The following is a 15301-nucleotide window of genomic DNA, read 5'->3' as shown; positions in this document are numbered from 1 at the left end:
CCTCTCTTAGCCACACGTTCCTCTTCCGGGAAATGGAATAATTCCTTCTATTTTCTGGGATTCTCTAGAGGGGTTTTTTTTTTTTTCTGAGACGGTATCTTGCTTTGTCGCCCAGGCTGGAGGACAGTGGCACATCTCGGCTCACTCCAAGCTCCGCCTCCCGGGTTCATGCCATTCTCCTGCCTCAGCCTCCCGAGTGGCGGGGGACTACAGGCGCCTGCCACCACGCCCGGCTAATTTTTTATATTTTTTACTAGAGACGGGGTTTCACCGTGTTAGCCAGGATGGTCTCGATCTCCTGACCTCATGATCCAGCCACCTCGGCCTCCCAAAGTGCTGGGATTACAGGCATGAGCCACCACGCCCAGCCTCTCTAGAGGATTAAGTAAAGCTGTGTCTGTGACTTTTTTAGCAAATCAAGTACCAGCTTCTTGGTGTTTTCCTAAGATCAACAGCCAGGAATAAAGACAGCAGTGGATTTAAAAATAGTGAAGATCGTCCATTTTATGTGGTGTGTATTCTACCACACTGGGGCAGGCCAGGTGCAGCGGTTCACGCCTGTCATCCCGGCACTTTGGGAGACAGAAGTTTTGGGAAGATCAGTTTGTGAGATGACACTCTGACAAAGCTGGAAGCTGTGGCTCTTCCCAGCTCCCGACTAGAAAGAACACAAAGCAAAGAGCCCCAGGAAGCAGGTACCCACAGCCTTGTTTATCAGGGAGTTTGAGATCAGCCTGGGCAACATAGCAAGACCTCATCTCTACAAAAAATACAAAACAATCAGGCAGGCGTGCAGGCTCACGCCTGTAATCCCAGCACTTTGGGAGGCTGAGGCGGGCGGATCACAAGGTCAGGAGATCGAGACCATCCTGGCCAACACGGTGAAACCCCGTGTCTACTAAGAAACACAAAAAAATTAGCCGGGCGTGGTGGCGGGCACCTGTAACCCAGCTACTTGGGAGGCTGAGGCAGGAGAATGGCGTGAACCCGGGAGGTGGAGCTTGCAGTGAGCCGAGATGGCGCCACTGCACTCCAGCCTGGGTGACAGAGTGAGACTCCATCTCAAAAAAAAAATAAAAAACAATGAGGCAGGCGTGATGGTGTGCACTTGTAGTCCCAACTACTTGGGAGGTGGAGGTGGGAGGATTGCTTGAGCCTGGGAGGTTGAGGCTGCAGTGAGGGATTTTTTTTTTTTTTTTTTAAGACGGAGTTTTGCTCTTGTTGCCCAGGCTGGTGCAATGACGGGATCTTGGCTCACGGCATCCTCCACCTCCTGGGTTCAAGTGATTCTCCTGCCTCAGCCTCCCGAGTAGCTGGGATTACAGGCATGCGCCACCACGCCCGGCTAATTTTGTATTTTTAGTAGAGACGGGGTTTCTTCCTGTTGGTCAGGCTGCAACCTCCATCTCCTGGTTTCAAATAATTCTCCTGCCTCAGCCTCCTGAGTAGCTGGGATTACAGGCACCTGCCACCATGCCCGGCTACTTTTTTGTTTTAGGTAGAGACAGGGTTTCACCATGTTGGTCAGGCTGGTTGACCTCAGGTGATCTGCCCGCCTCGGCCTCCCAAAGTGCTGGGATTACAGATGTGAGCCACCACGCCCGGCCTGCAGTGAGCTTTGATTGTACCACTGCACTCGGGGTGAGACCCTGTGTCCAAAAAAAAAAAAAAAAAAAAAAAGTTGAGGCAGTTCCCAGATAAACAAAACAACAGGCCAGGCACTGTGGCCCACGCCTGCAATCCCAGCACTTTGGGAGGCCGAGGTGGGCGAATTGCCTAAGCTCAGAAATTCGAGACCAGCCTAAGCAACATAGCCAAACCCCATTTCTACAAAAAATTTTAAAAGTAGCTGCTTGTGGTGTCGGGCGCCTGTGGTTCAGCTATGTGGAAGGCTGAGGTGGGAGGATCGTTTGAGCCCTGGCGGCGGAGGTTGCTGTGAGCTGAGATCGCGCCACTGCACTCCAGCCTGGGCCACTGAGTGAGCTTCCCTCTCATAAAAAGAAAAAAAAAAAAACAGGCTGGGCGCGGTGGCTCACACCTGTAATCCCTGCACTTTGGGAGGCAGAGGCGGGTGGATCACGAGGTGAAGAATTCAAGACCAGCCTGACCAAGATGGTGAAACCCCGTCTCTACTAAAAATGCAAAAATTAGCAGGGTGCGGTGGCGGGCACCTGTAATCCCAGTACTCGGGAGGCTGAGGCAGCAGAATCGCCTGAACCCAGGCGGTAGAGGTTGCAGTGGGCCATGGGCCAAGATCACACCACTGCACTCCAGCCTGGGTGGCAGAGTGAGACTTCATCTCAAAAAAAAAAAGAAAAAAAACCAAAACAAAACACCAGAAGCTGGCGGCACTCCTGGGCGCCCAGCTGTGAGTGGAGTCTCCCTGTCCCGCCTTTGGGCCTTACCCGTGCTGCGCCTGCTGCCTGCATCCCCCTTCCCTGGGTCTCCGCACGTGGGCCCTGCCTCATTTTCCCGGTCCCAGTTTCTGCGTCACCTCCTGAGAGGGGCCTCCTGTCAGCTTCCACGCAGCTCTGTCACGGGTAGATTCTCTCACGAGTGGAAGTGGCTCTCAGCTGCACTGGAATGTCCGGTCCACACGGACGGGGCCTCGGCTGTGCTGTCCACCCTGTATTTCCAGTGCCCAGTAATAGGTGCTTAGAAAATACTTACTGAATGAGTAAGTATACAGTTGTACCAGGCAGGTGATGTTATTATCCTTTTTTTTTTTTTTTTTTTACAAGGAGTAAACTGAGTCACAGAGAAGTGATGTGACTTGGCCAGGATCATGCAGCTGGTCGGGGTGGAGCCAGGCTTTGAACCTGTCTGTCCTGCTCCAGAGCTGGTATTCATGACGGGTGTGCTGCAACCCCCTCCTTCTCACACAGAGAACCAGATGGTGTCTGTGTGTTACGCGCTGGACACCTAATTCACGATCCCCGCCGAAAACCACTTCGGGAGCATTATGAATTCCATTGTGTCCTCCACCCCCAAGGATAGGTTGGGATCCTGAACCCCCATCCCTCAGCATGTGACTTCATTTAGAGGTGGGTGTTTACAGAGGTCCTGAAGTGAAAATGAGGTCATTAGGGTGGGCCCTAATCCAGTGACTGGTGTCCTTATGAAAAGGGGAGATTTGCGCACAGAAACAGACGTGCTAGCTGGGCATGGTGGCGCATGCCTGTGGCCCCAGCTACTTGGGAGGCTGAGCAAGAAGACTGCTTGAGCCTGGGAGGTTGAGGCTGCAGTGAGCAGTGATTGCGCCACTGTACTCCAGCCCAGGTGTCAGAGGGAGACCCTGTCTCAAAGAAATATAAAAAATAGGCCAAGTAGACTGAGTGTGGTGGCTCACGCCTGCAGTCCCAGCACTTTGGGAGGCTGAGGTAGGTGGATCACGAGGTCAGGAGTGTGAGACTAGCCTGGCCAACATGGTGAAGCCCCGTCTCTACTAAAGATACAAAAAATTAACCCGGTGTGGTGGTGGATGCCTGTAGTCCAGCTACTTGGGAGGCTGAGGCAGGAGAATTGTTTGAACCTGGGAGGCAGAGGTTGCAGTGAGCCAAGATCGCACCATTGCACTCCAGCCTGGGTGACAAGAGTGAAACTCCATCTCCCCCCCCCAAAAAAAAAAAAATAGGCTGGGGGCAGTGAAATTGCAGCACTCTGGGAGGCCAAAGCAGGAGGATTGCTTGAGTTCAAGAGTTTGAGACCAGCCTGGGCAACATAGTGAGACCATGTCTGAAAAATCTAAAATTAAAAAAGGAAAAATGAAAAAAAAAAAAGAGACAGCTCCAAAGGGAAGAGGAAGGGAAGAGGGAGAGAGGAGATGGTCACCTGTGAGCCAAGGAGAGAGACCAGAGCGGATCCTCCCTGAGGGCCCTGAGAGGGAACCAGCCCTGCCCACACCTTGATCTGGGACTTCCAGCCTCTGGGACTGTGATTTTTTTTTTTTTTTTTGAGATGGAGTTTTGCTTTTATTGCCCAGGATGGAGTGTAATGATGCGATCTCGGCTCACTGCACCCTCTGCCTCCTGGTTTCAAGCGATTTTCCCGCCTCAGCCTCCTGAGTAGCTGGGATTACAGGTGCATGCCACCACGCCTGGCTAATTTTGTATTTTTAGTAAAGACGCGGTTTCTCCATGTTGGCCAGGCTGGTCTCAAACTCCTGACCTCAGGTGATCTGCCCACCTCGGCCTCCCAAAGTGCTGGGATTACAGGCGTGAGCCACTGTGCCCGGCCAGGTCTGTGAGGTTTTAAACCACCTGTCTGTGGCACTTTGTTACGGAACCCGAGCTGAGTGGTACAGGGAGGAAGGCCCTGTGGTTCAGCGCATTTTACAGCTGAGGAAACTGAGGCTGCAGTCTCCATCTGTGTGTCCTTTGGTTGCTTGTATGAGTGAGGTGGCAGGTTTGGGAATGAAACCACGCCTGCGGTGCCGGGGCTCCCACCGGTAACCTCCCGTTTTTGGCCTCGGGGCTCCGGCAGGAAGGAGTCCCAAGGCTTAGATGGAGGTGCGGAGGGCGTGTGAGTGTCCTGGAGCTGCTGTAACAATGTACTGCAAACCCAGTGGCTTACACCCTCAGACGTGCATTCCCTCACGGTTCCGGAAGCCGGCAGTCTGAATCGCGGTGTCCCTGTGGCTGTGACCTGTGAGACGGGCCATAATCCTCCCAGCCTCTTCCACTTCCAGCGGGGGCGGCCCACCCTCACCTTGGAGCTGTGCCTCTCCGGTCTTTGCCTCTGTCCACACATGGCCTTCTCCCCATGTGTCTCTGTCTCTGTTTTCCCTTCCTATAAGGACACCAGTCATTGGATTAGGGCTCACCCTAATGACCGCATCCTGACATGGCCACTTCGGCACAGACCCTGTTTCCGGCACAGGCCACATTCACAGGTTGTGGGAGCACAGGAGTGTTTCTGCTGGTGCATCAGGCTGGGGTCTGTCCTCACCGGGATGTCTCCTCCTCCACCCCTCTCTTCCAGAGGAGGAGCGAGTGGACATTCTAATCAACAACGCGGGTGTGATGCGGTGCCCCCACTGGACCACCGAGGACGGCTTCGAGATGCAGTTTGGCGTTAACCACCTGGGTGAGGCCTGGGCAGGGGCTGCACCATGGGTTCAAGCGATCCTCCCCCGTCGTCCTCCCAAAGTGCTGGGATTTTAGGTGTGAGTCAAAAGTGACCTTTTCATCATCCTTAATCCAGGTCACTTTCTCTTGACAAACTTGCTGCTGGACAAGCTGAAAGCCTCAGCCCCTTCGCGGATCATCAACCTCTCGTCCCTGGCCCATGTTGCTGGGCACATAGACTTTGACGACTTGAACTGGCAGACGAGGAAGTATAACACCAAAGCCGCCTACTGCCAGAGCAAGCTCGCCATCGTCCTCTTCACCAAGGAGCTGAGCCGGCGGCTGCAAGGTACGGGGGCGCTAGGCTCGGCCTCCCTCTTGCTTTACTCTGAGCCTAGAGCGGCCTTTCCATGATCCTAGGCTGATGGGAGGCCAAACGGTGGATCCAGAACAGAGTCAGCAAAAGTAGAGCATGTGGACCACGCTGCCCGCTTCTGGTGCCTGAAGCAGACATCACTAATCGATCGTTCTTCTGAGGATTGTCTGTTCATCCCAGGTGGTCTAGTCTGCCTGGATCAGATGTCCTTCCCTGCTGCTGTTGGGCAGGCAGCTCAGCCTTTTGGCTCCAGCCAGTGAGTCTCAACCAGGGGCAGTTTTGACCCGCAGTTGTCAATGCCTGGAAACACAGTGATCACAGCTGGCTTGGGGAGAGATTGCTCTGGGCATCTGGAGGGTAAAGGCCCAGATGCTCTCAATGTCCTACAGCGCACGGGATGGCCCCTCACTCCTCCCAACCCACAGCATCCACAGTGCTGAGATTGAGAAATCTGTGCTAGGCCTTTGCTTCTGAAAGACGGTCTGTGGACCAGCGGTGCCAGCCCCACTGGGAGCTGGTCAGAGTTACAGTATCTTAGGTCCCACCGCCACGCACCGATGCAGGCTCCCGGGGTAAGCTCAGCGTTCTGGGTTTATGAAGCCCTCCAGGAAAGCTCGGCTCCCAGCAGCCATGTGGCAGAGCCGCTCCGCAAGATAAGACCACTTCACTAAGATTCCAGAGCAAGAGGGACGATGGGGTTTGAGTGCAGGAAGCAGCCTGGTGCCCGGAAGCCCCACAGCTGGGTGTGGGCTGCCACAGCCTCCCAGGTGAGGCTGGACCCCTCCCTCAGTCTTCTCTTTCTTTCTTCCCCAGGCTCTGGTGTGACTGTCAACGCCCTGCACCCCGGCGTGGCCAGGACAGAGCTGGGCAGACACACGGGCATCCATGGCTCCACCTTCTCCAGCACCACACTCGGTGAGTCCCCTCCCAGCCTGGGGTCTCCACGTGGAGCCCTCCACCCCTGCTTTCTCAGCCCAGGGCCCAGGACCCTCCCTCAGAGACCGTCCCTGAGGCCTCATGCCTGCTCCTCGCCTACGTCTTCTGAGGCACAGAGCACAGGTCCCTTTCCTCCGTTGACCTGGCCTGCCAGCCTCTAACAGCCCCGGGAAGCAGGCAGAGCCCTGCTGGCGGATGAGAAAACCGTGTCTCAGAGGAAGAGGCCGTGGAGCTGACGCCTGGAGTCAGGCTGTACTCAGGGTAACTCCAGCTTCACCCCAAACCAGCTGCACCTCCTGGGGAAGAGCTGTTACCCCTCTGAGCCTGTTTCTTCATCTGCAGAGTGCAGGCCTTAATAGGACTCACCTCACAGTCACTGGGGGGGTTATACGAGACCTTCCTTGAAAGGGCCAGCACAGGACCCCGCCCAGAGAATAGGTGGAACAAACAGTTGGAGCTTTACTTACTTATTTTTGAGATGAAGTCTTGCTCTGTCGCCCAGGCTGGAGTACAATGGCATGATCTCCACTCACTGCAACTTCCACCTCCCAGGTTCAAGCGATTCTCCTGTCTCCAAGTAGCTGGGATTACAGGTGCACACCACCACACCCAGCTAGAGGTGGGGTTTCACCATATTGGTCAGGCTAGTCTCAAACTCCTGACCTCAGGTGATCCAACTGCCTCCCAAAGTGCTGGGATTACAGGTGTGAGCCACCACCCCCAGGCAGTTCATGCTTTATGACTAGTGTTTATAATCCTGAAAAACATGGAGTGGGTGATTGGTTGGCATCAAGAATCTTAACTTGGCGAGGCTAATAGCCACGCCTGTAATCCCAGCACTTTGGGAGGCTGTGGTGGGCGGATTACCTCAGGTCAGGAGTTCGAGACCAGCCTGGCCACCATGGTGAAACCCCGTCTCTACTAAAAATACAAAAATTAGCCAGGTGTGGTGGTGTGCACCTGTAGTCCCAGCTACTCAGGAGGCTGAGGCAGGAGAATCGCTTGAACCCGGGAGGCAGAGGTTGCAGTGAGCTGAGATCACACCACTGCACTCCAGCCTGGGTGACAGAGCAAGACACCAGGTCTCAATAAATAAATAAATAAATGTCTTTTTTTTTTTGAGACGGAGTTTTGCTCGTCACCCAGGCTGGAGTGCAGTGGCACAATCTTGGCTCACTCCAACCTCTGCCTCCTCGGTTCAAGTGATTCTCCTGTCTCAGCCTCCCAAAGTAGCTGAGATTGCAGGCGCCCACCACCACACCCAGCTAAGTTTTTATTTTTAGTTGAGACAGGGTTTCACACGTTGGCCAGGCTGGTCTTGAACTCCTGACCTCAGGTGATCCACCTGCCTCAGCCTCCCAAAGTGCTGGGATTACAGGCGTGAGTCACCACGCCCAGCCCTTTTTTTTTTTTTTTTTTGAGACGAAGTCTTGCTATTGTCACCCAGGCTGGAGTGCAATGGTGTGATCTTAGCTCACTGCAACCTCCGCCTCCCAGGTTCAAGGGATTCTCCTGCCCCAGCCTCCCGAGCAGCTGGGATTACAGGCACCCGCCACCACACCCAGTTAATTTTTGTATTTTTAGTAGAAATGGGGTTTCACCATGTTGGCCAGGCTGGTCTGGAACTCCCGACCCCAGGTAATCCGCCCGCCTCGGCCTCCCAAAGTGCTGGGATTACAGGCCTGAGCCACCTCGCCTGGCCAAAAAAAGATCCTTAACCTGAGGCTGGTGCCAGGTGCATTTAATAAGATGTTATTAAAGGAGAAATGGGGTAGGGTGAGGACTGGGGCTGACCAAGAGGAAGAGAGCTTCCATTTTCCTGGACAAAGCCAGGAAGGCTCCTTGGGGGAGGCAGCTTTTGGTCTGATCCCTGGTCTGGTGGGATTTGCCTGGGCAGTGCCAGGGAAGGGAACTGCAGATGGAGGCAGCCAAGGGGAAAGGGCTAGAGGAGGGCTCTGTGGGACTCCAGGGACCCGGAGCTCCCTGACCGGGGAGCGGGGCTTCCTTCCTTCTCTCTGAGCGAGTGTGGACTAAATGCCCTGTGGGCTGATTGCAGGGCCCATCTTCTGGCTGCTGGTCAAGAGCCCCGAGCTGGCCGCCCAGCCCAGCACATACCTGGCCGTGGCGGAGGAACTGGCGGATGTTTCCGGAAAGTACTTCGATGGACTCAAACAGAAGGCCCCGGCCCCCGAGGCTGAGGATGAGGAGGTGGCCCGGAGGCTTTGGGCTGAAAGTGCCCGCCTGGTGGGCTTAGAGGCTCCCTCTGTGAGGGAGCAGCCCCTCCCCAGATAACCTCTGGAGCAGATTTGAAAGCCAGGATGGCGCCTCCAGACCGAGGACAGCTGTCCGCCATGCCCGCAGCTTCCTGGCACTACCTGAGCCGGGAGACCCAGGACTGGCGGCCGCCATGCCCGCAGTAGGTTCTAGGGGGCGGTGCTGGCCGCAGTGGACTGGCCTGCAGGTGAGCACTGCCCTGGGCTCTGGCTGGTTCCGTCTGCTCTGCTGCCAGCAGGGGAGAGGGGCCATCTGATGCTTCCCCTGGGAATCTAAACTGGGAATGGCCGAGGAGGAAGGGGCTCCGTGCACTTGCAGGCCACGTCAGGAGAGCCAGCGGTGCCTGTCGGGGAGGGTTCCAAGGTGCTCCGTGAAGAGCATGGGCAAGTTGTCTGACACTTGGTGGATTCTTGGGTCCCTGTGGGACCTTGTGCATGCATGGTCCTCTCTGAGCCTTGGTTTCTTCAGCAGTGAGATGCTCAGAATAACTGCTGTCTCCCATGATGGTGTGGTACAGCGAGCTGTTGTCTGGCTATGGCATGGCTGTGCCGGGGGTGTTTGCTGAGGGCTTCCTGTGCCAGAGCCCAGCCAGAGAGCAGGTGCAGGTGTCATCCTGAGTTCAGGCTCTGCACGGCATGGAGTGGGAACCCCACCAGCTGCTGCTACAGGACCTGGGATTGCCTGGGACTCCCACCTTCCTATCAATTCTCATGGTAGTCCAAACTGCAGACTCTCAAACTTGCTCATTTAAAAGAAAAAAAAAAGAAGAAAATGTACCCGAGTCGTAGATTTTATTTTTCCTCTGTGCATGGGTGAATGCCCATGAGCTGAACAAAGGCAACTCATGGCTTTATTCCTTTTAGGAAACAAGGCATCAGTTTATCACCAGGGCAACAGGCCATGCAAAAGTTCAGACTTGGCCGGGCGCGGTGGATCACGAGGTCAGGAGATCGAGACCATCCTGGCTAACACAATGAAACCCTGTTTCTACTAAAAAAATACAAAAAATTAGCTGGGCATGGTGGTGGGCGCCTGTAGTCCCAGCTACTCGGGAGGCTGAGGCAGGAGAATGGTGTGAAGCTGGGAGGCGGAGATTGCAGTGAGCCGAGATCATGCCACTGCCCTCCAGCCTGGGTGACAGAGCAAGATTCCGTCTCAAAAAAAAAAAAAAGTTCCGACTTTTTAGAGATGAAAGCCCCTTTCACCTGTTTCACAGGAAATAACCGTTTAAGTCCGGGCATCTTACAAGACTGCTGTGTTAGAAACTGGATAGAGATCAGGGTGAGATGAAGGGGCTCTTAGCTTAGGTGCAGAACCGAAGGAGGCACCGAAAAGCTCAGTAATCGAGATAGAAAACATGTTTTCATATTTGAGATACTGGGGAGGCCAGGGATGCTACTCAATATCCCACAGTACACAGAACAGCCACCTAGTCTCGCTCTGTTGCCCAGGCTGGAGTGCAATGGCATGATCTCAGCTCACTGCAACCTGTGTCTCCCATGTTCAAGCGATTCTCATGCCTCAGCCTCCCGAGTAGCTGGGATTACAGGCGCCCACCACCACACCTGGCTAATTAAAGACGGTATCACCATGTTGGCCAGGCTTATCTTGAACTCCTGACCTCAGGTGATCCACCCGTCTTGGCCTCCCAAAGTGCTGGGATTATAGGTGTGAGCCAGTGCACCCAGCCCTTTTTGCTTTTTTAGAGACGAGGTCTTACTGTGTTGCCAAGGCTGGAGTGCAGTGCCGTCACAGCTCACTACAACCTCGACCTGTGATTCTCCTGCCTCAGCCTCCTGAGTATCTGGGACTACAGGTGCATGCCACCACACTTGGCTAATTATTTGTAGAGGTGGCAACATAACATTTGCTATGTTGCCCAGGCTGGTCTCAAACTCCTGGGCTCAAGTGACCCTTCCGCCATGGCCTCCCAAATTGTTGGGATTACAGGCATGAGCCACCGTACCTGGCCTTAGTTTTCTTTCCGATGCCACACCAAATGGCTAGAGGGTGTGTTTGGGATGACCTGAGTCTGGTAGGCAACTTCCAGTGGACCCCACGGTGCGACCACCTCCCTTTGAGTGTGGGGGAGATGTAGCGACTGGCTTCTAGCAGTAGGATAGGGCAGAAGTGACAGTAGGTTAGTCTTGTGGTTAGGTTACAAAACTGACCTCTGTGATGGTAGCGTCCCTCGTCAGCCCTCTTGTCTTGCCCTCTCGCTGGCTGGTGGTGATGGAGCCGGCTGCCATGGTGAGCGGCCCTGTGGAGAAGCCAGGGAGGAATGGAGACAATCTGGAGAAACAGAATCACACCAACAACCACGTGCGTGAGCTTGCTGTGTGCTCTTGCTTGGGAGCAAGTTACAGGTTCAGCCCAAGAGGAGCGGACCACTCCAGGGTGTAAATACCAGGAGGGGGAATTGGAAGACTACCCTAAGCATGCCGACCGGAGACTGTGTGTGTGTAGTAGGTATTTCTTACTGGGAGATCACGGAAAAGCAAGTTTGAGAAACACTCCCATCAGATGGGTGGGCCGAGGATAACCTCAAAGCCTTTGGTTCTCCGAATAGGTGCGTAGGACTCACCCAGGCACTCTTTCCTTTTTTAAATTGTGGTAAAAACTACATAACAGTGGCCAGGCGTGATGGTGCACGCCTGTAATCCCAGCTATTAGGGAGGCTGAGGCAGAAGAACTGCTTGAACCAAGGGGGCACCGCTCCTGGCTGTAACATGTTTTCAATATCCCCCCTCTTCGGTGGCACAGGGGCTGGCCCCATATACATGTGCGATGGCAACTGACAGGGTCCCTGATAAACCGGAGTGCTCCAGAAACACCCCATTGCGTGGGACGGAGGATGTTAGGTGGCCCTCCTAGCGTTTGAGTTTGATAAATGAGCAAAGGAAGTGGTTTTTACTAGAAAGCCAGCTTTCCTTTTTTTTTTTTTTTTTTTTCCAGCCAGCAAACCCCAAACAGGAACCTATGGTTGGTGATGGATGTGCGTTCAGAAAGCAGGGAGGGAGGGGGAGTCAGAGGTGAGGGGGTCATCAGCCATAGCTGTCCGCTGCATCACCCCCTCGCTATCTCCAGGAAGCGTTCTGGGCTTTTCCTGTTGTGCAGTGTGGAAGTGCTCTATCTTCATTCATATCAAGGAAAGTCAAAGGACAAACTAAAGCCGGCAGCGTCTTTCTGGCTTCCTAGTCAGGCTGTTCGGTAGCGGAGTGTCACCCTGATTTCCAGCCCCGCAGCACACACAGTGAGAGCCTGCCTGGCGTGATTCAGAGGCAACGTATTTCCCAAGGTGGCTGTGAAGGAACCAGGGGGATAAACACAGCCCGTGAACCGCACGCCAGAGGACAGGTCCGGCTGCCTGCCGCGGAGTCGTCACGGCGTGTCGCGTCTGAGCGCTTCTCCAAAGCACCCAAGTGGCACCCGGGGTGACAGTTACATCATCTTGAGTACAGTTCTCTCAAGGAAAAAGCAAGCCCAGCATCTTCTGCCATGGCAACCCTGGCTTGGAGCCTCCATAAGAGAGAAGGCCCTAAGAATAATACCATTTTCTTGCTCTAAGTTGCTCTTACGGGAAAGAAGTGATAATATTCTTCCTAAACGCCATCATTCGTGCATCCTTCCCACCTATATGTGTCACCGGATCATTCTCCGCCTGGGCGGGGCCGTCCTGTGCACTGCAGAATGCTGAGCAGTGTCCTTGGCTTCGACCGACCACATGCCAGGAGCACCCCAATTTCTGCCATCGGGTGATTGACTTCACTGTTGCATTTGATTTTTTATGTATCTTTTAAAAGGACCCAATAGGGCCAGGCACAGTGGCTCACACTTGTAATCCCAGCACTTTGGGAGGCTGAGGTCGGTGGATTGCTTGAGCCCAGGAGGAGTTCAAGACCAGCCTGGGCAACATAGTGAAACCCCAACTCTACAAAAAACAAATGTTTTATTTTTATTTATTTTAGATGGAGTTTCACTCTTGTTGCCCAGGCTGGAGTGCAGTGGCGCAATCTCGGCTCACTGCAACTTCTGCCTCCCGGGTTCAAGCGATTCTCCTGCCTCAGCCTCCTGAGTATCTGGGATTACAGGCATGCGCCACCACACCCAGCTAATTTTGTATTTTTAGTAGAGATGGCGTTTCTCCATGTTGGTCAGGCTGGTCTCAAACTCCCGACCTCAGGTGATCTGCCTGCCTCGGCCTCCCAGAGTGTTGGGATTACAGGCGTGAGCCACCACGCCCAGCCGGGTTTATAGTTTTATAACCCTTATGACAAATCTCATAGTATTCTGCAGGGATAAGCATGAAACCACTCGTTCAATAAGTGCAAACAAAAACGCCAACAATTCTTAAGACATTTCTAATCTTATTTTACCAATAATTTTAAAGCCAGCTTATGTATTAAAGATTTATAACTACTTTTATTAACACGTTTAAAATTCTATGCAGCTTAAAGCATTTATAATGGATAAAACTGCCAATACTGAGTGCCTGACATAATATTTGAAAGGTGGCAGGCATTCAACCATGGTCACTGAATGAGAGATGTAGGGAAGATGATGGCAGGGAGGTTTTTAGATATCAACACCCTGATAGTTCTCATTTTAACCACCTGTAAGTGCACATACAAGTCAACGGCACTGGCCGGGCGCGGTGGCTCATGCCTGTATTCCCAGCACTTTGGGAGGCCAAATCACAAGGTCAGGAGATCGAGACCATCCTGGCTAACACGGTGAAACCCCGTCTCTACTAAAAATACAAAAAATCAACTAGGCATGGTGGCACGCACCTGTAGTCCCAGCTACTCAGGAGGCTGAGGCAGGAGAATCGCTTGAACCTGGGAGGCGGAGGTTGCGGTGAGCCAAGATCGCGCCACTGCACTCCAGCCTCGGCGACAGAGTGAGACTCCGTCTCAAAAAACCAAAAAACAAAAAACAGTCAATGGCATTAAATATAAATACATTTACAGTGTTGTGTAACCATCACCACTATGGATCCCCCAGACTTTGTCATCATCTTCAACCTAAGCGCTCCCTATTAAATAGTAACTCCCCACTTTTCCCAGGCCTTGGCAACCACCATTCTAATCCCTGTCTCTATGAATTTGACTCCTCTCGATACCTCAGATAAGCGGCACAATGCAGTATTTATCTGTCAAGTCCGGAATATTTCCTTTAGCATAATGTCTTCAAGGTCCATCACGTTGTAGCATGTATCTGAATTTATTCTTTTATAATATTTTTTATTTTTTGGAGACAGAATCTCGCTCTGTCACCCAGGCTGGAGTGCAATGGCGCGATCTCGGCTCACCGCAACTTCCGCGTCCCGGGTTCAAGCCATTCTCCTGTCTCAGCCTCCGGAGTAGCTGGGACTACAGGTGCCTGCCGCCATGCCCGGCTATTTTTTTTTTGTATTTTTTGGGGGTTTTACTGTGTTGCCCAGGCTGGTCTTGAACTGCTGAGCTCAGGCAATCTGCCTGCCTCAGCCTCCTAAAGTACTAGGATTACAGGCATGGGCCACCACGCCCGGCCTTATTTTTATTTTTGAGACAGTCTCACTCTGCCGCCCAGGCTGGAGTGCAGTGGTGCGATCTCGGCTTACCGCAATCTCTGCCTCCCAGGTTCAAGCGATTCTCATGCCTCCGTCTCCCAAGTAGCTGGGATTACAGGCACCTGCCACCATGCCCGGCTAATTTAACGCCCAGCTAATTTTTGTATTTTTAGTAGAGATGGGGTTTCACCATGTTAACCAGGCTGGTCTCGGACTCCTGACCTCAGGTGATCCGCCCGCCTCGGCCTCCCAAAGTGCTGGGATTACAGGCGTGAGCCACTGTGCCTGGCTGATTTTTATTCTTTTAGTTAAGGCTGGTTGATATTACCTTGTGTGTATATACCACATGTTGTTTATCCATTGTTGTTGATGGACATGTGGGTGGTTTCACCTTTTGGCTATTGTGAATAAAGCTGCTATGAACACTGTGTACAAATATGTTAGAGACCCTGTTTTCAGTTCTTTTAGGTGTGTACCCCGAAGTGGAATTGCTGGATTTTATGGCAATCCCACGTTTAACTTCTGGAGGAGCTGCTGGAACTGTTTTCCACAGCAGGGGCGCCATGTTACGTCCCTGCCAGCAATGCACGCGCAGTTCAATTTCTCTGCATACTCACCAATATCTGCTGTTTTCCATTAAAAAAAATTATAGCCGGTCGGGTGCAGTGGCTCATGCCTGTAATCCCAGCACTTTGGGAGACCGAGGCAGGTGGATCAACTGAGGTCAGGAGTTCAAGACCAGCCTGGCCAACACAGTGAAACCCCATCTCTACTAAAAATACAAAAATTAGCCTGGTGTGGTACATACCTATAATCCCAGCCACTTGGGAGGCTGAGGCAGGAGAATCGCTTGAACCTGGGAGGTGGAGGTTGTAGTGGGCCGAGATGGCGCCACTGCACTCCAACCTGGGCAAAAAGAACGAGACTTTGTCTCAAAAGAAAAAAAAAAAATACAGCCATTCCAGAAGGTGTGAAGTCATATCTCACTGTGGTTTTGATGCGTATTTTCCTAGTGACATCAGGGAGTTTATGGGAGCACGGGAACACAGACCAGGCCCCAGCAGGCGGACAAACGGTGCAACGCCAGGCTGGCCAGAG

At 53.1% G+C, this 15301-nt stretch overlaps 1 protein-coding gene and 1 long non-coding RNA gene across 8 annotated transcripts in view, besides 1 other annotated feature; one reads left to right on the top strand and one right to left on the bottom strand.

Moving 5' to 3' along the window:
• Positions 1 to 14641, top strand: part of RDH13 (retinol dehydrogenase 13) — a 30418-nt gene extending 15777 nt beyond the window's left edge. For 2 of the 6 annotated variants that reach the window (NM_138412.4, NM_001145971.2), the window contains 4 exons: positions 4981 to 5085; positions 5203 to 5415; positions 6256 to 6357; positions 8435 to 9428. In NM_138412.4, coding sequence (NP_612421.1) covers positions 4981 to 5085; positions 5203 to 5415; positions 6256 to 6357; positions 8435 to 8670 — 656 coding nt within the window. In that variant the 3' untranslated portion in view covers positions 8671 to 9428. Of the gene's footprint in view, positions 1 to 4980; positions 5086 to 5202; positions 5416 to 5486; positions 5699 to 6255; positions 6640 to 8434; positions 9429 to 11607 lie in introns of those variants that run through there. The other 4 variants (XR_007066569.1, NR_027381.2, NR_027382.2 and 1 more) reach the window with 4 other exon arrangements.
• Positions 8718 to 9219: an enhancer, noted in NCBI's record as "H3K4me1 hESC enhancer chr19:55555893-55556394 (GRCh37/hg19 assembly coordinates)". NCBI's record gives its function as "activates a minimal SCP1, AML or CMV promoter by ChIP-STARR-seq in naive H9 embryonic stem cells {active_cell/tissue: H9 hESC(naive)}" and the evidence as "EXISTENCE:reporter gene assay evidence [ECO:0000049][PMID:30033119]".
• The window catches only part of GP6-AS1 (GP6 antisense RNA 1), a 38091-nt gene continuing 32216 nt past the window's right edge, over positions 9427 to 15301 (bottom strand). For both annotated transcript variants that reach the window (XR_001754012.3, XR_001754013.3), the window contains exon 3: positions 9427 to 10944. This is a non-coding gene — a long non-coding RNA (GP6 antisense RNA 1). The remainder of the gene's footprint in view (positions 10945 to 15301) is intronic.

This window comes from Homo sapiens, chromosome 19 (genome assembly GCF_000001405.40).
Source record: "Homo sapiens chromosome 19, GRCh38.p14 Primary Assembly".
Taxonomy (NCBI): Eukaryota; Metazoa; Chordata; class Mammalia; order Primates; family Hominidae; genus Homo; species Homo sapiens.
Note: the sequence above shows the minus strand (reverse complement) of the source record. Positions and strands in the feature narration are given on the sequence as shown.